This window comes from Homo sapiens, chromosome 1 (assembly GCF_000001405.40).
Source record: "Homo sapiens chromosome 1, GRCh38.p14 Primary Assembly".
Taxonomy (NCBI): Eukaryota; Metazoa; Chordata; class Mammalia; order Primates; family Hominidae; genus Homo; species Homo sapiens.
The window spans coordinates 163281272-163307547 of record NC_000001.11 but is presented as its reverse complement, the minus strand read 5'-3'; the positions used below and the strand labels follow the sequence as shown (position 1 = coordinate 163307547).

The following is a 26276-nucleotide window of genomic DNA, read 5'->3' as shown; positions in this document are numbered from 1 at the left end:
TCTGTCTCCCATCCTTAACCGGCATGGGACCCAGTGGAAGGATTAATGGACTAGAAATCTTTTGGGTATTGATTCCTGCTTAGTAAAATGAGGGACTTTTTCTACATGATTTGATATTTCCTTTCTGTTAAAAAAAAAAGTTCTCACTTTCATGTCACACATAAAATTGAGAAGACATTGTTAAGTTCTCCAACTATTTTACCACTTGGCAATGTAGACCCCTAGATTTATGTGGAAGAAAATTATTTCATTTCAGAGAAGAAAATAAGTAGAGGATCTACTAGAATCAATTTTTACTTGACATTGTCATCTCTTTGACTTAGAAGAGGGATGTGGTAGAGAGAGATAGCAGCTAGAGATCTAAGGGCAGGAAAACCATGCTTTGAGGAACCTTATCCCATATCAGAATCTCAGTAGGTCTTCCCTCTGTTTCAGCCCTCACCTCTTATAGGAGTTGTTCCCAAGTGGGAGGGGAGCCCTTTTTATATATTCAGAATATATATAATTCAGAAATTAGGAGATTAGAATTAAGGTATAATGCATCAGTTTGCTAGGGCTGCCATAACAAGTATCACCAACTAGGTAGCTTAAACAACAGAAATTCATTGTCTCACAGTCCTGGAGCCTAGAAGTACTAGATTAAGATATCAGCAAGGTTGATGCCTTCTGAGGGCTGTGAGGATGAATCGGTTTCATGCCTCTCCCTGGCTTCTGGTGGTTTGCTGGCAATCTTTGGCATTCCTTGGCTTGTAGATTTATCACCCCAATATCCTTTATCTTCACATGGCATTCTTGTGTGTATTTTTGTGTCCAAATTTCCTTTTTTTAATAAGGACATTGGTCATATTATATTAGAGTAAGACCCAACCTAATGACCTCAGTTTAACTTGATTTCCTTTACAAAGACCCTATTTACAAATAAGGTCACATTCTGAAGTATTTGGGATTGGGATTTCAACATATCTCTTTTAGAGGACACAATTCAACCCATAAAACATGGCTCACAGCATCATGAGCCAGAGGCCTTCCTGGGCAGGATCTATATAAATAGCCTGATGGCTCAAACCAGGGCAAATATACCAGCTTGCCTCAGAACAAAATGCAATTCCTGGATTTTTACCTCCTTTGAAAACTGAGTACTAATTACTTATTTTTATATTACCAATGCTCTTTGAGTGCAACATGCTGAGTACATGCGATTCATTTTATTTTTCTTAGAAACAGAGCGCTTAAAAAGCACTGTCTGGATATCTTCAGAGGGAAAAAGGAGAAAGTTAACTGAATTGGTGACACTTCGGGTCTCTCACAGAGGAAGGTAAGGTTTCAGTCAACAGCACATAGAGGATTATCCTCATTTACCCAGGACTGACAGTGTTTGTGAATTCTAAAGCTGTGCATGTAGTGAATATACAAGATAAAATTGAAATGAGAATAACGGAATAGCATTGTAGAAATGATTAAAATGTACCCAAGCCCCAAGTTTTCAGATAACATGATAGTTTTCTAATGGTGAAACTGTTTAAGATGTATAGTCATAAAAAAGATTAAAAAAAATAAGAAACAGTTGTATAGCCAACTTTTAATAATCTGTGTTATAGACTCCATAGCAGATCTGAAGGTAGCTATATGCCAGCAGCAGAAGGTGCACCCTGGAGCACAGTTTTGTAGCAGTTCTCCAAGCTGACCAGCTGAGGACTAGTGACCCTACTTAAGAACAGTTGGCTAAGAGGATAGTCAAGTGAGGGGAATGTGCTACAAGAGAATCATAGTAGATAGAGATGCAAACAAAAGGGAGAGTCTTTCTTCTTGTTCCTTTCTGATCTGTAGAACCTGCAGGCCCACTGTAGAGCTCCCATTGGAGTACAGTGGAGCATGAAGAGAGAATCCTTAGGAGAGCTTGTCAAGGAATTTGGGGGAGGAGTGTGTTTGCAAACATGGGGGAAAGTACTTATTAATCATTTAGATGTTCTGCAGGCAGAAAGCTTACTAGTGTAGTGTGTAGGGCTGCAAGCCACCAAAGTAATGACTACTTGAAAGAGGACCAATAGTTTCTGAAGCTCTGTGTGAAAAGATACAGTGGTTGGGGTGGGGTGCGGAATCTCTAGAGCAGCTCATACAGCCACAGGGCAAAGAGAGGGAACCCCCACACGGAAAAAAAGATTGCAGCAGGGATGGAGAGCTAGTAGCTTTAGGATGACTAGACACTTCTGAAAGTGAGCACTCTGTCCTTACAGAGACCACCAAACCAACAGAAGCCACCAGGACAGCACACAGCCATTCCAAAATTCCAGACCAGGATCATTCCAGAAAAGCCTTACATCTCAGTCCAGTATATGGATGGTTTTGTAAGATGACCTATGATTTTTCTGTTCCTCCTTCCTGCCCCTAACTTCAGAGAAACAGACCTAGAAAGAGGGAAGGAAGGAGTGAAAAAGCGTGCCATACTTTATCTTCTCCCCTTCTGTTTTAAACTAGACAAATCTATATTTTAATTATTATAAGTAACCAGAAAGTTATATGGTCTGGCCAGGATGGCATTAAAGAAAATGAGAGAGAAAAGTTTAAGATAGCATGGTTGGAGACAATAAGTAGAAGAAACCAAGTAGTTCAAGTTTTATAACGCTCTATCTTATAAACACTCTTGAACCAATAATAATGCTATTACTGAAATGCTACACACAATTGAAGACTACTTGTTAGACCAAGACCTTAAAAACTTCTTTACTGATTATTCCCAATGTGTGGCCCTGGTAATCATTGAAGAATCATTGTATTGACTATTAAACATCTAGGGATCACCTGTTTAAATCAAGTTAACAAAACACTTACTTAACAAATATATATTGATTGCCTATTATGAAGTAGATGCTATAGTAGGTGCTGGCAGTATAAACATGAAAAGAGACATTGTGTGTGCATATTAATATACAGCAAATTAAACTTCAGCCAGAGAAGTACTTTACTAGAAGGTTGATAGAAGTGTGGTGGTAGCTTGCAGGAGGAAGCAGTTAGCCTCCTTGGAAATGAGTAATCTTCACAGAAAGTATGACATTTGACCTGCTTCTTGGAGAAGATGCATATTAAACCTATTAAATCCATGTCAGCCTTTAACACCTTTGCTCAGATTAGTTTCTCGAGCTGTTTTCCCACCTGGTGAGCAGATAAGAGCAGGACAGGAAAGTTCTGATGAAAGGAAGAAGTGCCAGAGAGAGAAGGCCTTGCAAGCAAAGAAGCCTGACAGGCAGGAGCCCCTGAGTATCCTAAGGAGAAGTACCAGCGATTTAGGGAAGAAAATTGCTGCCAGAAGTGCAGGAAATAAAAATTCTGACCTAGATCATTTTACTTATGTCTTCCCTGGTTCTATGAATATATCTTGGGGGTCCTTTTATAATCACATTTCATTAACCAGGCAAGATTAATCAGTGACCAGATAGGACAGTCACTGACTCTTAAGACTTTACAATTTGAAACAGTGTGTACAAATGTATAGAGAGACATGTAGACCAGCGGGTTTCCAACCTTTCTGGCACCAGGGACTCATTTTTGGAAGACAGTTTTTCCATGGGATGGGTTGGGGGAGCAGGAGTTGGATGTCAAGGGCGTTGGATATGTGGGGGGATTGGTTTTGGGATGAAACTGTTCCACCTCAGATCATCAGGCATTAATTAGATTCTCATAAGTAGTGTGCAACCTAGATCCCTCGCATGAGCAGTTTGCAATAGGGTTCACACTCCTTTGAGAATCAAATGTGCAGCTGATCTCATGGGAGATGGAGCTCAGGCAGGTGGTAATGCTCACTCACCGCCACTCACTTCGTGCTGTGTGGCCTGGTTCCTAACAGGCCACAGACCGGTACCTGTCTGCAGCTGGGGGTTTGGGAACCCCTGATTGTATACCAGAAAAACAAGGACTGATAGAGCTGCTAATGCCAGTCTCAAATGAGTGAATGAGCAAATACAGAAGTACAGTTTAAGTATACAGAAGCTCTCTTCATCCTTATAGCTCTCTGACGTTTTGATGATTCTACTTTGTATTTTTAAGTTCCAATTTTAAAGAGGTGTGTAATTGAGTGTTAGTTGTGTGATTTGGAGCAAGTCTCTGAGAGATCTCTTTTTAAAAAAATAATCCACAAGCTAGAAGATTGGACTAAATTACCACTATGATTCTTTTCAAAGCTATCTTAATTTACTACTATTTGAAGTTACTTCAGCCAGTGCTAATGATACCGTAGTTGCAGATTTGAACCACTGAGATGCAATTCACTTATTTAAAAACTACTTGATAAGAGTTTGTTGGGAGGATTGCTAGATAAAATATGGGACACTTAGTTAAATTTGAATTTTACATAAAGAATGAAGATTTTTTAATGTAAGTATGTTTCATATAATATTTGAATATGTAAAAGTATCCAAATATACTTAAAAATTATTTTTTCTCCATTTGAAATTAAAATTTAACTATGTGTTCTTTCAAAATCTAGCATTCTTACATCTATGTTAGCTTCAGTTAGAAGCTAGGCTCTGTGGAAGACAAAATGGTGAATCAGTCATAGATCCTTCACTCAGTCTAGAGGAGCAAATGAGAGTCAAATATTAATAATGATATTACAAAGTAAAAAGTGATGAGTTCATGAGAAATATACTAAGAGAGTGCTATAAAGGTTTGCAGGAGGGAGAAATTACTTCCAGCCACAAAAGCAAGAGAAGAACTTGAGCTGGCCTGAGAAAGATGGCAGGATCAAGGCTTCTGAATTTGGTGTGAGGAAGGGGTAAGGTCATTTCCGGTAGAGTGAATGGCTTGAGTAAAAGCATGGAGATGGGAAAGCACAGAGGAAGAGAGGACAGCTAGTCATTTGGTTTGACTGTGGTTTGATTGGGTAAAGGGAAATTAAAGCAGAAAATATTAGAAAGGGAAGGCAGGACCATACCAAGGGAGCCAGAGGTAGGAGGGAAGAAGGCTAGAAATCTGAATAAGCAAAAGAATTTGATTTGATGCTTGAAGGTTTCTGATCCAGGGTGACAATGCATACCAGTAGCGACAAGGGAGAGTGTAAAGAATCATCCCAAACAAATCACTTCCAAGAAAAACTTGGGCTATTAGTGTTGTTTTTAACACATAGCTTAAGAAACATATTAGGTGAAAAGGAAATATAGGTAAGTGGGAAAATCACAAGCTTAGGTATGAAAAGATTCTGGGTTCAAATCCACATTCTCCTTCTGTATGATCTTAAGTTATTTCCTATCTGAAACTCAGTTTCCTTGCATATACAAAAGACTACAAATGCTCTCATTATGCTTGGAAGTTATAAGTACCACTGTATACCTGGCACATTTTGGGAGCTCACTAAAGACTAATTGCCACATGAGTTATTGTTTACTTACTACTTATTCTTCTCTAGTCTTCAGAGTATCTTATTTTATTGTAGCAGGTGAAGATGCTCCCAAGAGATTTAAAAAAATGTTTTTCAAAATATTTTTCTTTATATGAAAAAAACTTTTTCTTAAAATAAAAAACAGCATATCTATCTGAACTAAAAAAAAAAAAACAGGAAAAATTAAGAAGCCAATATTTGGAAAATTTGGTCCAAATACTCACTTTAAATTGATTTCTTCAATACTAGAGAAAGTTAGATTTTCTTCCTAATTGAAATATCACATGGTTAAACCAGGAACCCTGGGAAAAGCTGGGGTATCTTTTGATAATTATGAAGTGAAAGCAAGAATTTCTATTTAATTATTTACACCCTGACCAAATAGTATAGAATTTAGCTCAGCAGGTGAACCAGGGAGTCTCACGGATCCTGTGTACTTAAAGGAATAACAAAGCACGGGGGCTTATGGCCTGTGAAAGCCAGAGTGAAGGGGAGAATTGAGCAGTAATAGGCTCATTTTTTTTCTTTATAAAGACTCATTCTGGGCCTGGCGTGGTGTCTCACGCCTTTAATACCAGCACTTTTGGAGGCCAAGGCGGGAGGATCGGTTGAGCTCAGGAATTTGAGACCAGCCTGGACAACATGGTAAAACCCTATCACTGCAAAAAATACAAAACTTAACTGGGTGTGGTGGCACACACCCGTAGTTCCAGATACTCAGGAAGCTGAAGTGGGATGACCACTTGAACCCAAGAGGCCTGGGCTGCAGTGAGCTAAGATGGTGCCACTGCACTCCAGCCTCAGTGACTGAGTGAGACCCTGTCTCAAAAAAAAAAGACTCATTCTGGATAATTGCCCGTTTCTGATTTTTTTCCTCTAGAATTCTGATTTTTTCCTCTATCTCAGTTTGTGTCTTTGTCCATTAAAATAGGCCACAATGATTGATGATAAATTTGTTCTCTGAGATAGCACCTAGAGGAACAGTTATCCAAAGTGTCCTGTGCCCTGTCAAAGGCTGAAATAACCACCATTGCTGAAATTATGTGTTTATAGATAATGCCTCCCTATTTTGGCATTTTTCTTTCAAAAATGAATTATCACCAGTACCCGCCTTTATTCATATATTTTCTCCTCAACCTCATTGCTGAGTATCTAAAATAGATTTGCAGCTGAAGAACTACTCATTCCCTTGTCTTCCCATACCAGGCCTGTAGCCTGCTTTCAAACTTATTCCTATGCACAACACAACGTGAGCTGTATCTTAGATTTATTCTCACTTTGTATTCAGAGTCAATACACTTGGTAAGTGCACAGCTGTGACACACTAGGATTCCTACAGGCTTTACGCAAATGTACGTGATTTTATCAGTCCCAGAAGACTAGCCCTTGAGAGATTTGCTTGGGTAACATTTTTGGCAGTGCTTCTTTCTTTGTTTTTATTAATGTTCTGGATTCATGTTTGTGAGACTCTCAAATTTATTTCAGATTAGATGAAGGTGACCTTCCCCTTCGCCAAGCAGAATCTCCCATGAGACTCATGAATCCTCTTGAGGCCAATTACAGCTATCACTTGTTAACTGTTGGAGTACTTTCAGTCTTAAAAGAGCTGCTAGAAAATTAAGGCTGCAACATGAAAGAAGAACAAAATGGTCAGGCATATCACACGTTTTTATCAAATGATTTGGTTTAGGACTTGATAACCTGGTTAGTACTTGAGCACTGAAAGATATTTTGAATTTAAAGTAAGATGGAGAAAGTGATGGAAGCTAAATCACAGAGGATAGAAATACGATCAATCGTATTCAGAACAGAAACATCTTGGGCTCAATGTCTGGGAACAATGAGAAGATTAGGCTGCTTTAGAACTTAGCTCTCATTTGTTTTGGTAACCTCCACCTGCAAGAGGACACTCTTCCGTCCCAGTGAGACTGAGGTGAGAATCACAAGACCACTGCCCTCTATCTCATCTTTTCTCCAAGCCTTAGACCATCATGGGATTCACTAACATCATTCACACTTCAGGAGTGATATATCAGAGTGAGCCCCTCTTTTCTGCTCATCTTTCTGCCTCTCTAGAAAAGAGATAATTTCACTGTTTACCTCGGGAAACATGAAAGTTAATGATAAATGTAAATGATAGATGAGGCAAGCATTGAAAGCTATAAAGTTGAAAGTAGGACCTAATACCCTGTAGTAATGTGTACTCCTTTTTAAAAGAAAACACACAAGTCATTTAAGAAAGGTTAATTTCTGCTACCTTTCCAAAATATTCTCAGAATAATTGGAGAGAAAAATTGTGACAAAACACTGGGGGCACCATTGGTGAAAGAAAACTGTATATTCTTGTCTTTCAGTCAGGAAAGAATAATATCTACTTGATCGAAATGATTTTTTTCCTCAGAAACTGTGGTACTGGCTACTAGAAAACAGAGAATTTAAACTATTATTTCTCAGAATGTTTTATCTCCATGACCCAAAGATGGTTTCCCTCCATGAGAAAATATCCCAGTGTTTGTTTTCGAGTTGTCATCAACACAAAGCAGCAGCACGTTCACATATAATGTGTTTCCAGCTTTTCAAAGCATTTTCACTTGTTTCTCAATTGTTTATTACAATAATAACCCTGTGTTGACATTATTATCTTCATTTCACAAATGAGGCAGCTCAGATTCAGACATTAAGGGACCTTCACAATATATTTAGCTTACGGTGGCAGAACGAAGGCAAAACCAAAAGTCCTTGCCAAAGACTACCTCCATTTGTCTTCAATGGACTCCCTGAGTTTTTCATTGTTGCTCTTTTGTGGTATGGCTGAAGCCCTCAAAATTTGGAAAAGACAAGCAAGTACAAGATAGGCACTTAGATTGTCATTCCTCAACTGGCTTCTCTACAGCCTTTTCCTCCCAATATATAAAATACAGCAATAAAGAACAGAAGACTAACATTTTAAACACTGAACTGTTGCTCAAATTTACTCCTCCTGTATAATAGTATAATTTGTTCTTATAAGGTTGTAAAACTGCACTGCATACTTAAATTGCATGTTTCACATGTCTATACTATTCAGCTCCTTTTCTCATCTCTGCAGTGCCTACCCCCAACATACTACTGGCTTAACAATTCCCATGAAACAGTGTTTGAATTTAAGAGGCAGGGCTGTGAGAAACACAAATGGCCATCCTCTCATGTATGTGCTTCTATCACAGAAATTTGATTGTTCTCTAAAGGCAAGCATGGATTTTATTTTATTTCCAGCATCTTCAAGGTAATTATCTACTTAACCTGCATAGTAGCAGTTGTTGAGACTCAGTAAACCTCAAAATGTAGCATTTTGGTATGCTAATTATTTCAAACTGAGGGCACTTGGGAAACAGCAAATACAAGAAAGGGCTCTCTCTGAACTCCCTTAAGTGGCTGAAGATAGAGCCTCCAAAAAGAAACACAATTGTCATAGGTATCCTCCCTGGGAATCTCATCAGTGAAGGAAGATTAACTCACAGGAGACACCACACTCCAGAAAGACTTTGTCACAAACTATCCATTACCTCTTCTTCTGATGAGATCCTTGGAGACAACTTTTATTACCTGAGAGATGTTATCTGTATAACAAGACAACCTTTGTTCTCCATGCATTCCCTCCTCTTACTCCCCTGCAACTTGTATAGACACCACCCCCGATAAACCACCAACCCCTACTCCTTTCTTTAGCTCAGGATGCTATAAAAACTTCTATCATCTGGCCCCTCTTCAAGTCCTCTACTTTGTGGGACTCCTGTGTGTAATTAAAATAGCTTTTCTCCTACTAAACTGTCTACTGTCAGTTTATTTCATAGATTCAATTATTGAACCTTCAGAGGATAGAAGATTTTCTCTCCCCTAAACAATTACAAGAGTAATTTGGAATTTTACTTGTTGTTTTATATGATTAGTTATCTTTATTTGTATACATGCATATGTCTTCTCTATCACTCCAAATGAAGTGATATGCACATATATATATAAAATACATATTTCATATTTATATGTCCTGTTTTCCCTCCATCCCTTGCATTTTGCCTTGTGTATTGTTAGTGTTCAAATAAATATTTGTTATATCAAACAAGGAAATTAAAGAATGAAAAGTCCTACAAACCTATCAATAGTAAACAATAGTGGCTGTACTTTTCTTTCAGAGAAACAAGTCAACAGTTTTCAAACAAAAGCAGTCTTGGAGATATTCCCTAATGACTTGGCAGTCAACAATTCCCAGCTCAAAAAATTTAAAAAGATAAAACAATACATTACCTTTATTGTTACGAATGTCTTCAAAAATAATTTGTTTATTATAAATTTAGTTATGATTTAATTGTTTTGTGAAACTATTGGGAATATATTTCATTTTGTTTCTTGTTCTTGTAGAGAAGAAAAACTAATTTTCTCTCTACTCTGTAGTTCTTAACTGAAATTCCTTGTAACAAAAGACAGGTTAACAAGCAGAAGTTTATTAAAATGTATACTTCATGTTACATGTTACATGGGAGAAGATACAGAGAAATGAGTACAACTGTGGAGCAAATCTCAAAGAAAGTTTAAACTTTAGGATAAATGCCATTGTTTTTTGAAACAAGAAAGAAGGATGTAGGGAAAGACCCAGCTAAGAGGAGATGGCTAGGAAAAGTATCTTAAACAAAGGTAATGGGGAATCCTAATTAGGGAAAGGGAGTCAGGCTGGTGGGACCAAGAGAAAGCAAAAATAAAAAGCAGATAAGGTATAAGTCTACCTTTCTTCATGGTCCAGAAAACATAGCTCTCCTACACAAATAACTCACAATCTTCGTGTGTCCAGCTATCACTGGACTCTTTACTGATCAAAAAATGCAAGTTAGCTAACTGAAACCTTGACGCATTATCTGTATTGCACAAAGCCCTCTTCAGCACACAGCACAAGCACCATGCTATAAAATCACCAACAAATCTTTGTCTCTTTGTAGTCAGCTCCTCTCTTGCTGATTTGCCTGTGGCTTTCTTAGGATGCATTTTCCTACCTTCTCTAATAAATCTGCCTTTCTTTACCTCCAACTGTCTTGGTAAATTATTTTAACCACCCATCTGACACCGGCCCCAGATAGTCACCATCTGCAACAGATAAGGATGATTATGCAAATTTAAGTCAATACCTTTTCCATTTTGTTTAAGAGTCATTAGTGATTTAGTGTCCTTTTCTTCCTGATGCAGGGAGAAAGACTCTTGCAAATAAAGATTCCTTTTACAGATGTAAATTTCTCTCTCTAAAAAAGTAACTTTTTAGGGCCAATCCTGTGTCTGGTGTTTCTCAAAATAACTCATTCAAAATAATATGTCAAAGATTTAGGGTGGCATATTCTGTTCTTCTACAGTCATATTTTGGGGTAGTGTACCTTGAGCACTGCCATATTCCTGTTTAAAATTTTCCCAAGAAGTTTCACAATCCAGAAACTGTGTGGGTAGATTATCCCATGACCTAGGGCTTTTTAATGTAAACAAAAGGAAAAGGTTAATAGTTAGAATAAACTATAACCTAGTTTTTTAGTTTGGAATGCAGTCAAGAAGGTTTCTAAATGTTTGCCTTAAAGCATCTTTTGTAGTTTGAATACCTCCAGTGATGGCTGAGTGGCCCACAGCAACAAGCATGAAGGTTGTCCATACATGAGCTGTTATGATTTATCTGCAGTTTATATCAAGTAGTCCAGTTTTAGCTCACAGGGCTTTAGTAAAGGGGCAGTCTTTATTTTTAGTGATTCCATGTCAGAAAGGTGGAAGAAAATTTGAAATGTTAGTTTTAAGAGGTTTGCAAAGTCTTAGCCAAATATTAGAAGAATTCGGGGTCAGTTAAAGTTTACAGGTAGATCGCAAAACCTCAAAGACAATAAACAGGAGTAGAGTCTAATAACAGGTGTACTATAGTTTTCTATTGGAACATAATTTTTCTCTCTACAGCCACCCCTACTTCTGCCAAAGATAGTTGCAGTAAGAATAGTTTACAAAATAAGTCTACTGTCATCATGTCCTGATTATTTACATAAGTGTAGCAATAGTAGTGATTAACCATAAAGGCTCTTTTTAAGTTGGCTTCACTGGAACTGTAATAAGAAATATCAGATTGGACTTTTTAAAGCATCATAAGGCTAAGATGCCAACCTAAGAACTTGTCATCAGATATTGTAGCTTGATAAATTTTTTTTCCTCTCACTCCTTTGTCTGTACTCTGCCCATTTCTGTGAAAACAGAGAGTTGATTGAAAAAAAAAGATTGATACTTAGCATAATAACAGGCAGTCAGTATTAGCAAGAGTAAGGGATTTTGGTCTTATAAATACCATGTTTTGAAGAAATTAAGGCTTCAAAGCCTCACTTGAAGATTCACAATATCAATCTGATGTCACCCAACAAACTGAAGCCAGGATATTTGCTTAAAACCTTGATGCCTTTGAAGATTCCACTTCAGGATGGATTCAAGTACTTGGCATTGGGTGTGGGGTAAACAGATGGTAGAAAAAGTATAAAGAATCTTGGAAAGAGAGAGGAAGACCGTAGGAAGAGAGAACAATTTGCATGTACTCATCTGGGAACCAATATTGTGTAGTGGTTAATGTCAGCTTCTCTGGAATCAGATGGCCAAGGTTAAAATCAGCCACCTTGTTAAATGAGGAATATAATAGTCATAGCATCAAATAATTATTTTAAGGGTATAAACTTTCCCAAGAAGTTTCACAATCGAGAAACTGAGTTAGTGGATTATCCCATGACCTAGGCCATTTTTATGAAAACAAAAGGAAAAGGTTAATAGTTAGAATAAATTATAACCTAGTTTTTTAGTTTGGAGGGCAGCCAGTCAAGAAGGTTTCTAAATGTTTGCCTTAAAGCATCTTTTTCAGTTTGAATACCTCCACTGCTAATAAAGATTTATTTTATTAGCAGTGTGAGAACAGACTAATACAGTTAATTGGTACTGGTAGACTGGGGTGCTCCTATAAAGATACCTGAGAATGTGGAAGTGACTTTGGAACTAGGTAAAATGCAGAGATTGGAGGAGTTTGGAGGGCTCAGAAGAAAATAGGACAATGTGGCAAAGTTTGGAACTTCCTAAAGACTTGTTGAATCACTTTGACCAAAATGCTAATAGTGATGTGGACAGTAAAGTCCAGGCTGAGGTGGTCTCAGATAAAGATTAGGAACTTATTGGGAGCTGGAGCAAAGGTGACTCTTGCTATGCTTTAGCAAAGAGTCTGGCAGTGTTTTGCCCCTGCCCTAGAGATCTGTGGAACTTTGAACTTGAAAGAGATGATTTAGGGTATCTGGAGGAAGAAATTTCTAAGCAGCAAAGCATTCAAGAGGTGACCCGTTTTTTTCTGAAAGTGTGCAGTTACATGTGCTCACAAAGAGATGGTTTGAAATTAGAACCTATGTTTAAAAAGGAAAGAGAGAGCATAAAGGTTTGGAAAATTTGCAGCCTGACCATGCAATAGAAAAGAAAACCCCATTTTCTGGGGAGAAATTCAAGCCTATTACAGAAATTTGCATAAGTAATCAGGAGCCAAATGTTAATAGCCAAGACAAATGGGAAAATGTCTCCGGGGCATGTCAGAGATCTTCATGGAAGCCCCTCCCATCACAGACCCAGAAGTCTAAGAGAGAAAAATGGTTTCATGGGCCAGGCCCAGAGGCCTGCTGTTCTGTGCAGTCTCAGGACTTGGTGCCCTGCATCCCGGCTGCTCCAGCTCCAGTCATGACTAAAATGGTCCAAGGTACAGCTTGGGCCATGTTTCAGATGGCGTAACGGCGTAAGCCCCAGACTTTGGCAGCTCCCATGTGGTGTTGGGCCTGTGGGTACACAGAAGACAAGAGCTGAGCTTTGGGAGCCTCTGCCTAGATTTCAAAGGATGTATGGAAACACCTGGATATCCTGACAGAAGTCTGCTGCAGGGGCAGCCCTCATGGAGAACCTCTACTAGGGCAATGCAGAAAGGAAATGGGGGGTTGGAGTCCCCACACAGAGTCCCCACTGGGGCACTGCCTAGTGGAGCTGTGAAAAGAAGGCCACCATCCTCCAGCCCCCAGAATGGTAGATCCACTGACATCTTGCCCTGTACACCTGAAAAAGCCACAGGCACTCAATGCCAGCCCATGGAAAGCAGCTGTGGGGGCTATACTCTGCAGAGCCACAGAGGCAGAGCTGCCCAAGGCCTTGGGAGGCCACTCCTTGTATCACTGTGCCCTGGATGTGAGACATGGAGCCAAAGGAGATTATTTTGGAGCTTTAAGCTTTAATGAGTGCCCTGCCAGGTTTCAGACTTATAAACAAAGTGCCTGTGGCCCCTTTGTTTTGGCCAGTTTTACCTATTTGGAACAGAAACATTTACCCAATGTCTGTACCTCCATTGTATCTTGGAAGTAGCTAATTTGTTTTTGATTTTACAGGCTCGTAGTTGGAAGGGACTTCCCTTATCTCTGATGAGACTTTGGACTTAGACTTTTGGGTTAATGCTGGAATGAGTTAAGACTTTGGCAGGCTGTTGGGAAGGCATAATTGTGTTTTGAAATGTGAAAAGGACATGAGATTTGGGAGGGGCCAGGGGCAGAATGATATGGTTTGTCTCTGTGTCCCCACCCAAATCTCATCTCAAATTGTAATTCAAATTTTAACCCCTAAGTGTCAAGGAAGGGACCTGGTGGGAGGTTACTGGATCATGGGGACAGTTTCCCCTTTGCTGTTATCATGATAGTGAGTTCTCACAAGATCTGATAGTTTAAAAGTGTGGCACTTCCTCCCCTCGCTCTTTCTCCTGCCACCATGTCAGATGTGCCTTGCTTCTCCTTCATCTTCTGGAATGATTGTAAGTTTCCTGAGGACTTCCCAGTCATGTGGAACTGTGAGTCAATTAAGCCTCTTTTATTTATAAATACCCAGTCTTAGGTAGTTCTTTATAGCAGTGTGAAAATGAACAAATACACCTTGCTTACACCACATACAAAACTCAACCTGAGATGGATTAAAGACTTAAATGTAAAACTCCAAACTATAAAAACCGTAGAAGACAACCCAGGCAATACCATTCAGGCATAGACAGTGGCAAAGATTTCTTGATGAAGACACCAAAAGCAATTACAACAAAGCAAAAATTGACAAATGGGATCTAATTAAACTAAAGAGCTTCTGCACAGCAAAGGAAACTATCAACAGAGTAAACAGACAACCTACAGAATAGGAGAAAATTTTTGCAATCTATCCATTCGACAAAGGTCTAATATCCAGCATCCATAAGGAACTTAAACAAATTTACCAGAAAACCAAAAAACCCCATTAAAAAGTGAGCAAAGGACATGAACAAAAACATCTCAAAAGAAGACATACATGCAGCCAACAAACACATGAAGAAAAGCTCAATACCACTGATCATTAGAGAAATGCCAATCAAAAGCACATTGAGATACCATCTCACACCAGTCAGGATGGCTATTACTAAAAAGCCAAAAAACAGCAGATGTTGGTGAGGTTGTGGAGAAAAACAAATGCTTTTACATTGTTCTTGGGAGTGTAAATTAGTTCAACCATGGTAGAAAACAGTGTGGTGACTTCTTAAAGACCTAGAGGCATAAATACCATTTGACCCAGCAATCCCATTACTGGTATATACCCAAAGGAATATAAATCATTCTATTATAAAGATGCATGCATGTGTGTGTTCATTGCATCACTATTCACAATAGCAAAAACATGGAATCAACCTAAATGCCCATCAATGATAGACTGGATAAAGAAAATGTGGTACATATACACCACGGAATACTATGCAGCCATGAAAAGGAATGAGATCATGTCTTTTGCAGGGACATGGATGGAGTTGGAGGCCATTATTCTTAGTAAACTAACGCAAGAACAGAAAACCAAATACCACATGTTCTCACTTACAAGTGGGAGCTAAATGATGAGAATGCATGGATATATGTTGGAGAACAGTACACACTGGGGCCTGTCAGAGGGTGGGGGGTAGAAGAGAGAGAAGATAAGGTAGAGTAGCTAATGGATGCTCGGCTTAATACCTGGGTGATGGGATGATCTGTGCAGCAAACCATCATGGCACATGTTTACCTGTGTAACAAGGCTGCACATCCTTCATATGTACCCCTGAACTTAAAAGTTGAAAATTAAAAAAAAAATCATTTCTATTTGGGCTTGAAAAGTAATTATATTGGCACATCTATGCCTTTTATCCCAACGAGTTCTTCCTGCCCACTGCACAAACAGAATCAATTGCCACAGAGATCATGTCATTGCAGTGAAGAAAAATTTAATTAACACAAGTCTGGCCACACCGCTCAGGAAATGGAGTTATTACTCAAATCAATCTCCTCAAAGACTTGGAGAGTTTTTCAAAGACAGCTTGGTGAGCAAGTGGCTAGGCTATGGGGAGTGCTGATTGGTTGGGTCAGAGATGAAATCATAGGGAGTCTAAGCTGGCCTCTTTCACTGAGCCACTTCTGGGTGGGGCCACAGGAGTGGTTGGTGCATCCAGATGGAACTATCGGTTGTCAGACATGCAAAAAAACTGAAATGCTATCTCAAAAGGCCAATCTTAGATTCTATAATAGTGATGTTACCTGCTGAAGTAATTGGGGAAGTTGCATATCTTGTGACCTCTAGAATCATGGCCGGCTGTCATTTATATCTACACATTAGCAGAATTCTGGCTCCTCTCCCTTCCTAGCCTGGTAGTCTGTCATTAACTTCACAAAGGTGGTTGAGTTTGGGGTAAGTACTATTACCACTTAAACTATAAACTAAATGGCTCCCAAAGTTAGCTTGCCATAAACCCAGGAATACTTAAGGGCAGCTTGAAGGGTAAAGGCATGATGGGGTTGGCTAGATAGATACCCCCCTGCCCGCCGCCATAATTTTCTCACTGTTACAATTTTTGCAAACGCAAAACTTCACAACACATTAAATAAAATAAGGAAGCTTCATTAGAGATTTGACATGAAGTAGCAGAGAGTTTTTATGATTCTACAGAGAACCTTTTTTTTTTTTTTAATAAGTGGGCTTATGTATCTTTCTTAGAATGGATGCCCTGAAATGATGAAACTATCTGCAGTACTGGGGATTCACATGATATAAACAAAATCTTTTGATTCAGTTAATTAAACCAGTAAAGTCTATGTAGTAGGAGAACAGTTTGACTAAACTGTTCTGTTATTTTAAATTATTAAACTCCTGTAGTTGGCATTTACAAATAATGTTGGCCTTTTTCTCTCTCATGCTAAATCCAAAGAATTTACTTCAAATAATATTTCTTATTATAACCACCAAGTTTAGGATTGTGTTATAAATAAAATACTTTAGACTGGTTGATCTCATATAATATCAAATGTATCCTCTATTTAGTGAAGATATGAAAGAGGAATCAAGAGAAGCACGTTTTCTGATATTTGAAATCTGATCTTTTTTCTTCTAACTATGGAAGCCCTAAAGTGTGAGATCTTTGAAATATTCATTTTTTTTTTTTTTTTTGGTATGAGCTGCACATGTCTTCTGGACAAGATCCCTAAATATGGGCTGGTTGCCATGAGAGAGAAAATGTGATATTAATGTGGGGTTTATTATAAGAGAATAAATAAACCCCTGCTGGCAACAAATAAAGGCATAATTAGATTACTCTAAAGAAACTTCTCTATAAACACACTGAGATGGCTTAGTAAACAATGAAGAAATGTTATGCAATAGTTTTGGCAAGAATTATACAGAAAGCAACAATGGTCAGATATTGTTTGTAAGATTAAATATTGAAGAGGCGTCATTTGTGTGGGGTAATACCCAAGGTTTGTTGCCTCACACCAAGGAAATCGAGGACGTGGACACAAACAAGGAGTGACTTTAAGAGCAGAGGTTTAATAGGCGAAAGAAAAGAGAAAAGCTCTCTCTCCTGCAGTGAGAGAAGTGCTCCCAGGTGTGTCTTCTGCTTTGTGGTGAAATGCGTGGGGTTTTATAGAGGAGCCTGAGGAGGTGGTGTCTGATTTACACAGGGCATGAGAGATTGGTCAGTCCAGGTGTGCTGTTTGCATAGCGTACAAAGAAGCTGGCTATCCCACCCTAATCTTTTATTATAAAGATAGGGGTCTCATGTTGCCTGCTTTTTTACTGTACATGTGGCAACAAAGAAAATGGAAGAGGGAACCTCCATGTTGAATATTCCTGGCTTCCAAGTATCCCTTTTCTATTGGCATAGCTGCCAGCATTTACCTATGCAGGCTTTTAGCTTGCTTACCTATGCTTGCAGCTTGATTTTTCAGGCTGCTTTTTGTTAGAAAAGAAATTATTTGGGGGCTGCTTTTTATAAAATGGAAGCCTTACCGAGGGCTCTCTTACCCTCACTATCTGCCTAAATAATTTCTAGCTCCTGTATCAATATGAGATGGCGTATAGTTGCACTGAGCTAGAAGATAATGAAATTATATAATCAGAATTTTATATCAGGAAGGGACCTAAAAGATAAATTAACCCAAACATAGCATTTTAAACTATAAAATATAAGATTCAGAAAGATTGACTTTTTCAAAGTCAGATTAGTTTGGGTCATAGTCAATATCACAATTCAGTTTAATGGAACAGAAATATATTGAGCACTTACTATGTGACAGGTTCTTAGAAATTCAGGGAACAAAGATATTTAAAAAGGTGAATCCTACCTTTGATCTTACTGTCTCATTAGACAGCCATTCATTTCATGCGTTCTCTAGATTTGAAAACTTAGTATGGTATTATAGTACAATGATAGAGTATACAAAGTATCTGATTTGCTATTTCTGAAAATCCTTTCTGGAGGAGGTGGCACATGAGTTGGACACACCAAGAAAGGTAGGAAGGGCATTTCAGAGAAAGATAACTGCAGGAGCAAAGGTGTAGGGGTATTGTGTATATATGAACAAACAAGCAGAAAAGGGTGGAGGCAGGAAGTGGCAAGAGCTTTGCTAGGTAGGAACTAAGTCTTACAGGGCAACATTGACAGGCACTTGGGTTTTATTCTGTAGAAAAGTAATATATGACATTCAAAGGATTTCAAAACTGAGAATATAAATGTGAATTTATTTGATATTCTGGTTGCAATATGGAGAAAAGGTGACTGCTTAGGAAGTAACTAGGGTAGCCCAGGAAAGAGGTGATGAGGCCATGATCTAGAACAGTGGTCATACTGGAATATACCAACATATACCAAGAAGGGGAAGATTCGAGAAAGATGAGAATTGTCAGAGGAGTCTATTATTACTTTTAGGTTTCTAATTGAGTACAGATGGTGTTGCCTAAGTATTGGAGCAAAATAGATTGCATTTGTAATAAAACAATAAATTCCATTTGAACACAGTGAGTTTGAGATACCTGTGTGTCATCCAAGTTGATATGTGCAGAAGGACATGTGAGGCTAAAGTTCCTGATAGAGTAAGACTAGGGTGATATATATGGGAGTCAGCAACTTAGTTGAAATGATGAGAGTGAATGAGATCACTAAAAGGTTATAATAATGAAGACTATTGACCCTGCTAAAAGCCTGTAAAACATACACAAACACATACTTATTGAGAAATGATCAGAGAGGAAAAAAAGAATCAATAGAGCATTTGTATTTATGCTGAAGGAGAGAATTGAATTTCAAGAAGTGAGTAGTTAACATCAAATGCTTCGGAGAGGTCCAAAAAGATTTTGAAAATCATAGTTGGATTTGATCATAGGGGCATGTTTGGTAATCTTGCAGAACCATGTGCTGCACAACACGTTGCACAGTGGAACAACAGATGACTGACAGTGACTCCCAATCCAGAGCTCTTTCCAGTATACCACATTGTCAAAACTTTGTCTTAAACTCTTCCCTCTCTACTCTCTCCCAACTACCTGAAGTCCATTGGCAGATTATTATATCTTTTTGTTTAAATACAATAGAGAATTATTGAATGTAACTTCAGAGCTTTATGTTCAGTACTTTTTTGGATCTAAATTTGTAGGTTCTACAGTATCCATTACCTGAAAAAAAAAAAAGTGAAAAGTACCAGGGTCAAGAAAGGCCTTGTAAAAACTGTTGTGTGCTTTTAAATTTATCTAATTTCTAGAAAAAAAATTAATACGTTTTCTGGCTGTATGTTTTACAATATGCTCAACTATCGAGATTATTAGAAATATTAAAAATCAGTTTTGGGACTTCCAAGTTACAATGACAGACTAAAGGTCTCCCTTCAGGGAATGCAGTGCAAATTACAACTAAATTGTAGCATAACTGAAGAAAAGTCTGTAAGGAAACCTTAAAATATAAAGGCAATCCACTCAATGCTGGAACATTAGGACAAATTAATGAGAAAGCTGTGGTGAAATGTAATAAAGTTCATGCAAAGTGGCTGCCCAAATATGACACCACCAGTAGAATTACCCAAAGATGTAAATAGGTTGAATGAATATTCTGTTAATTTAGGTAGTATTGGAGGAGTCATATTAAAGAGAAACATAATGTCTTACCCATCCAGAAAGCATATAGAAGAAATTTGGCAGGTGGACCTTTGGCCCAAAAGGACTAATAAGTTTATCTCAGAAACTTCATGCTTTTAGCCACCAGTTGTAACATACAATCCAATGGCATGGGCCAAACAAGTCCATTCCACAGGCTGAGAGTGGATAACCATTATTTTAGACATCTGCCAGTGTATAAATTTACTTAGGAAATGAATGGCATGGTCCTAAAAGCTCATGGTGATTCTTTAATGAACCAGTGAGAGCCAGGAATGTGAGTGTATGAAGGAGCATGAGTAGTAGGGGTGGGGGAATAGGTGAAGGCCTGGGAGTATCTCTACAAAGCCCAGTTTCCAGATAAAGGCTATAAGGAGAGTAAGGCTCAAAGGGGGAACTGTTCTGCTGTTTTCTTTGTCCTAGCATTCTACATAGAGAAACTGTCTAGTGTTAAGGCAAAGTAAAGGTAAGAAGGGAAACACAAACAATTTTGCAGTTGTTGACCAAAAATCAGAAAATTTCTCCATAGGAAAACTTTGGCATACATAGTTTCAGTATGAACAATATTACTAATTTTTTACTTATTGCACAGGAAATAAATGAAAACTGAGAGATATGTTCCGAGAGCAGAGGAACAATGAAGATCTTGTGAAAAAGTGTTCTGAAATAGTACCTACATTTAAGCTTTTATCTTTCTCAGATTGACCCCACTTCACACACTTTGCTTTCACAAAATATATTTCCTGTTCAAAGATAAGCTATAAACAGCACAGGGAATATGTATAATTACTCTGAAGAAAGGAATGAAAGTAAAGGATAGAATAACATTATCCCCTCTCAAAGGAACAAAAACTTAAAATTTTTTTTTCTAGATGTTCCAAAGAATTTGCATATGGTACTGCAAATATGAGCTAAAAATAAGAAGTTAAAGACAATGAGTATTGAGCTGGCAGAGATTACAGAAAAAAATGGAAGATAAAAATAAAACATTACCAAAAAGAAAGTCAGGGAAGAAGCATCAGAAAGTATCCAAATTGTTTTTGAAAATATGATCATTGATAAAAAGAGTATGCTTGATAAAATACCATAAAATAAAACAAGAAACAATAAAAGGAAAATGAGATTAGGGAGATAATCATTTTATAAAATAGACGAATGACATCAAATATAAATAATAAGAAAAAGATAAAATAGGAAAAAATAATGAGAGACTTTACATATACATGTATACTGTATATTATGTGCATAAATTAATTTACATATGTAATTACATGATCTATTCATATATGTGTATGGTCTTCCTCAGTTTCTGTGGGAGATTGGTTCCAGGACTCTCCCTACTCCCTACTCCCCGAGGATACTAAAATCTACTAATGCTCAAGTCCCTTATGTAAAATGGCAGTATTTACACATAACCTATGCACATCTTCTTATATATTTTAAATCACCTCTAGATTACTTATAACACCTAATACAATGTAAATGCTGTCTAAATAATTGTTGTACTGGTTTTTTATTTGCATTATTTTGTCATTGTTTTATTGGGGGTTTTTTTTCCAAATATTTTTGATTCATGGTTGGTTGAATCCCCAGACGCGGAACACATGGATATGGAGGACTGACTGTATATATATATATAGTGGGGTGTGTCTGTGTGCATGTGTGTGTGTGTGTGTGTGCATAAATTAAATACTTGTATGAGTCTGTTCTCACACTGCTATAAAGACATACCTGAGACTGGGTAATATTATTAAGAAAAGAGATATAATCGGCTCATGGTTCTGTGGGCTGTACAGGATTCTGCTTCTGGGGAGGCGCTGGGAAACTTACCCATGGCAAAGGCAAAGGGGAAGTAGGCACGGTCTTCATATGGCCTGAGCAGGAGAGAGAGAGAGAGAGAGAAGGGGAAGGTGCTACAAACTTTCAAACAACCAGATTCCTTGAGAACTCTATCAAGAGAACAGCAAGGATTAAGTTCGCTCCCCTGATTCAATCACCTCCCACCAGGCCCCTCCTCCAACACTGGGAATTGACATTCCACATGAGATCTGTGTGGGGACACAGAGCTGAACCATGTTTTTATATATTTTTATATATATATTTGTTGTTGTTTGTTTTGTTTTGTTTTGTTTTTGTTTTTGTTTTGAGACAGAGCCTTGCTCTGTCACCCAGACTGGAGTGCAATGGTGCAGTCTCCACCTCCAGGGTTCAAATAATGCCTCAGCCTCCCGAGTAGCTGGGATTACAAGTGCCTGCCACCACGCCCAGCTAATTTTTGTAATTTTAGTAGAGACAGGGTTTCACCATGTTGGCCAGGCTGGGTTCGAACTCCTGACCTCAAGTGATCCACCTGTCTTGGCCTCCCAAAGTGCTGGGATTACAGGCATGAGCCACTGTGCCCAGCCCATATCAATACTTTAAAGGGGATTGTCCTTGGGAACTTGTCAAAGGAAAAGTTAATACAGAATAATTTACTGATATGGTTTGGCAGTGACCCCAGCCAAATCTCATCTTGAATTGTAATTCTCATAATTCCCATGTGTTGTGGGAGGGACTCAGTGGGAGATGATTGAATTATGAGGGCAGTTTACCCCATACTGTTCTCATGGTAGTGAGTAAGTCTCATGAGATCTGGTGGTTTTATAAGGGGTTTCCCCTTTCACTTGGCTCTCATTCTTTCTTACCTGCTACCATGATTGTGAGGCCTCCCCAGGCACGTGGAACTGTGAGTCCATTAAACCTCTTTTTCTTTATAAATTACCCAGTCTTGGGTATGTCTTTATCAGCAGCATAAAAACGGACTAATACATTTACCATGGGACATATCCTAGTGAAATAACTTGAACTTGAAAGAAATAATGAAACAGAGAGGGGAAGAGGGGGAGGGAGGGGAGGAGAGAGGGAGGGACAAAGAGAGGGAGCTGGAGAGGGTAAGAGGAAAGGAAAGAGGGAAGACAGATCCTATTGGAGATACTTGATGTCTTGCCCATCCAGAAGACATAGATTACCTGCACAGCAGAAACAAAAGTTACCTACAAAGCAAAAAGCATAGGGTTGGCCCCAGGATTCTCTAAAGCTCTATTCATTATGAGAACATAGTAGCAGTCCATAAAGGGTCTGAGAGAAAGAAACCAAGACTTAAGAATTTTATATGCATTCATGAATTTTATATGCTGGTAATCTCAGTGGAAAAGATATGCTCAAAGTAAGAAAAAAAAGATATTTAAATAGTGTCTGCACTGTGAAACTGAAACAACAAACATTTAAAATGCACATCTAAATAAGTGAGCAGTATCTTAAGACTTAGAGTAGGTGACTCTGTAGCCATGAGCATGAATAGATAGCTATGAAAAAGAATCAAATAGGGACTTTATGAATGAGGCCTATAGTTGCTGAATGATAACAAGAGATGGGCTAACAAATCTAATGGGCACAGTTGGTGAATAAACCGGTAAGTGAAATGTTGGGCCAAGGATTTCACTTATTATGTAACAACAAAAGAGTTATAGGTCAGATTCTCTTAAAACAGGAATTCAAGCTACTATTTAATCATAAAGAAAAAGATCCAAAATACATCGTGACATTTTTTAAGCCCATTGCGGAATGCTGTGTTAATTTTTTATTGCTACATAACAAGTGACCATAAACAGCAACTTAAATAACACGTTTATGATCTCATAGTTTGTGTTGGTCAGGAGTCTGGATATGGCTTAGCTGAATTTTCTGTTTAGGGTCTCAAAGACTGCGCTCAAGATGTTGGCCAGGCTGCTTTCTCATCTGAAAGCTTGCCTGGAAAAAGAATACCTCCAAATACACTCATTATTGACAGAGTTTCATCTCCTTGCAGTTATGGAAAATAGGGCTTTGGCTTCTTATTAGCTCTTAGCTGGAGGCTGCCCTCAGCTCCTAAAGGCTGTCTTCAGTTCCTTGCAATGTTGAGCTTTCACAACATGGCAGCTTAATTCATCAAGCCTCTAGATGAATTAGGAGAGTCTCTAGAGTGAGCCTGCTGGAAGATCAAGTCTTAAATAATGTAATTATGAGAGTGACATCCCATCACCATTGCCATATCTTATTGTTTAGAAGCAAGTCACTGGATTCTACATACACTCACGGAGTGGAAATTTCATGGAGGTATGAAATCAGGATACAGGAATGATAGGGGAGATACCTTAGAGCCTGCACATCACAGAATCTGTACTATTATCATAATCATAAGTAAAGAGATAATTATTATTCCATTTTAGGTGACACATAATTGTACATAGTCATGGGCTGCAGAGTGATATTTTGATACACGTTTACAATGTGTAATGATCAAATCAGGATAATTAGTATATTTATCACCTTGAACATTTATCATTTCTTTGTGTTGTGAACATTCAAACATTCAAATCCTGTCTTCTAGGATTTTGAACACATACACTAAAGTATAGTTAATCATATTCTCCCTGCAGTGTTACAGAACACTAAAACTTATTCCTCCCATTTAGCTATAACTTGTTAGCCATTAACCAACCTCCCCCTTTCCTTTCTCCCCATTTTCCTTCCCAGGATCTAATAACCACATTTCTATTCTCTAGTTCTATGAGCTCATTTTTTTAATTGCCACAAATGAGTGACAATATGTGGCATTTGTCTTTCTGTGCCTGGCTTATTTCACTTAACATAATGTACTCCAGTCTCATCCATGTTGCCATGAATGACAGGAGGTCATTTTTTTATGGCTGGATAGTATTCCATTATGTATATATACCGCATTTTCTTATTCAATTCATCTGTAGATGGTCATTTAGGTTGGTTCCATATCTTGTCTATTGTGAATAGTGCTGCAATAAACATGGGGGTGCAGGTATCTCTTTGATATACTAATTTCCTTTCCTTTGGATATGTACCCAGTCATCTAGTAGTAGGATTCTTGGAAAATATAATATTTCAATTTTTATTTATTTATCTGTTTATTTAGAGACAGGAGGGTCACATTCTCTCCCCCAGGCTAGAGTGCAGTGGCACCATCATAACTCACTGCAGCTTTGAACTCCTGGGCTCAAGTGATTTTCCCACCTCGGACTCCTAAGTAGCTGAGACTGCAGGCAAGTGCAAACATGCCTGGCTAATTTTTAAAAAATGTTTTCATAGAGACAGGATCTCACTTAGCCTATGCTTGTTTTGAACTTCTGGCTTCAAGCAATCCTCCTGCCTCAGCCTCCCAAAGTGCTGGGATTACAGTCATGAACCACCACATCTGGCATATTTTTGTTTTTTGATGATAGTTATCCTAACTGGGGGGAGATGATATCTCATTGTGGTTTTAATTTCCTGATGATTAGTAATGTTGAACATTTTAAAATATACTTGTTGATCATTTATATGTCTTCCTTTGAGAAATGTTTATTCAAATCTTTTTCTATTTTAAAATCAGATTTTTATTTGTTTGTTTGCTGTTGAGTTGAGTTGTTCGTATATTCTGGATATTGATAGTCGCTTGTCAAATGAATAGTTTGCAAATATTTTCTCCCATTCTACAAGTTGTCTCTTCATGCCATAGATGGCTTTCTTTGCTGTACAGAGCTTTTTAGTGTGATATAGTCCTATATGTCTATTTTTGTTTGTGTGTGTGTGTGTGTGTGCGCGCGCGTGCACTTCTGAAGTCTCACCCATAATATCTTTGCCTACAACAATATTCTAAAGCATTTTCCTTTTGTTTTCTTCTAGTAGTTTTATAGTTTCAGGTCTTTAATTCTTTAATTCACTCTGAGAGTTGATTTTTGTATATGGTTAGAAATAGGGGTCTAGTTTCATTCTTATGCGTGTGGATATCCAGCTTTCCCAGCATGATTTATTGAAGACACTGTCCTTTTCCCAATGTGTGTTAATGATACCTTTGTCCAAAATAAGTTGACTGTACAAACATGGATTTATTTGGGGGTTCTCCATGCTGTTCGATTAGTCAATGTATCTGTTTTTATACTAATGCCATGATCTTTTGGTTACTATAGTTCTTGATATGGTTTGGTTGTGTGCCCCCTGCAAATCTCATGTTGAAACATGATCCCCAATGTTGGAGGTGGGATCTAGTGGGAGGTGTTGACTCATGGGGATGGATCCCTCATGAATGGCTTAGTGCCATCCCTTTTGTGATGGGTGAGTTCTTGCATTAGTTTACATGAGAGCAGGTTGTTTAAAGGAGCCTGGCTGGCCCCCTCGTCCTCTTTTCTCTTGCTCCTGCTCTTGCTATGTGATATGCAGCTCCTTGTTTGCCTTGTACCATGCTTGTAAGCTTCCTGAGGCTCTCACCAGAAGCAGATGCTAGCATCATGCTTCCTGTACAGCCTGCAGAACCATGAGCCAAAATAAACCTTTTTTTCTTTATAAATTACCCAATGTATTAGTCCATTTTCATGCT

The 26276-nt window shown here is 38.2% G+C and overlaps 1 protein-coding gene and 1 long non-coding RNA gene across 26 annotated transcripts in view; both read left to right on the top strand.

Annotated features, from left to right (window-relative positions):
* The window catches only part of RGS5 (regulator of G protein signaling 5), a 179437-nt gene that overhangs the window by 14188 nt on the left and 138973 nt on the right, over positions 1-26276 (top strand). For 8 of the 9 annotated variants that reach the window (NM_001254748.2, NM_001414472.1, NM_001414477.1 and 5 more), the window contains one exon: positions 1219-1315. The exons of the other annotated variant lie outside the window; for it this stretch is intronic. The gene's annotated coding sequence lies outside the window, so the exon portion shown is untranslated. The remainder of the gene's footprint in view (positions 1-1218; positions 1316-26276) is intronic. 9 annotated transcript variants of the gene reach the window in all.
* The window catches only part of LOC127814295 (uncharacterized), a 77231-nt gene that overhangs the window by 14188 nt on the left and 36767 nt on the right, over positions 1-26276 (top strand). For 5 of the 17 annotated variants that reach the window (NR_182651.1, NR_182654.1, NR_182653.1 and 2 more), the window contains one exon: positions 1219-1315. This is a non-coding gene — a long non-coding RNA (uncharacterized LOC127814295). Of the gene's footprint in view, positions 1-1218; positions 3343-5905; positions 9179-26276 lie in introns of those variants that run through there. The other 12 variants (NR_182640.1, NR_182644.1, NR_045630.2 and 9 more) reach the window with 5 other exon arrangements.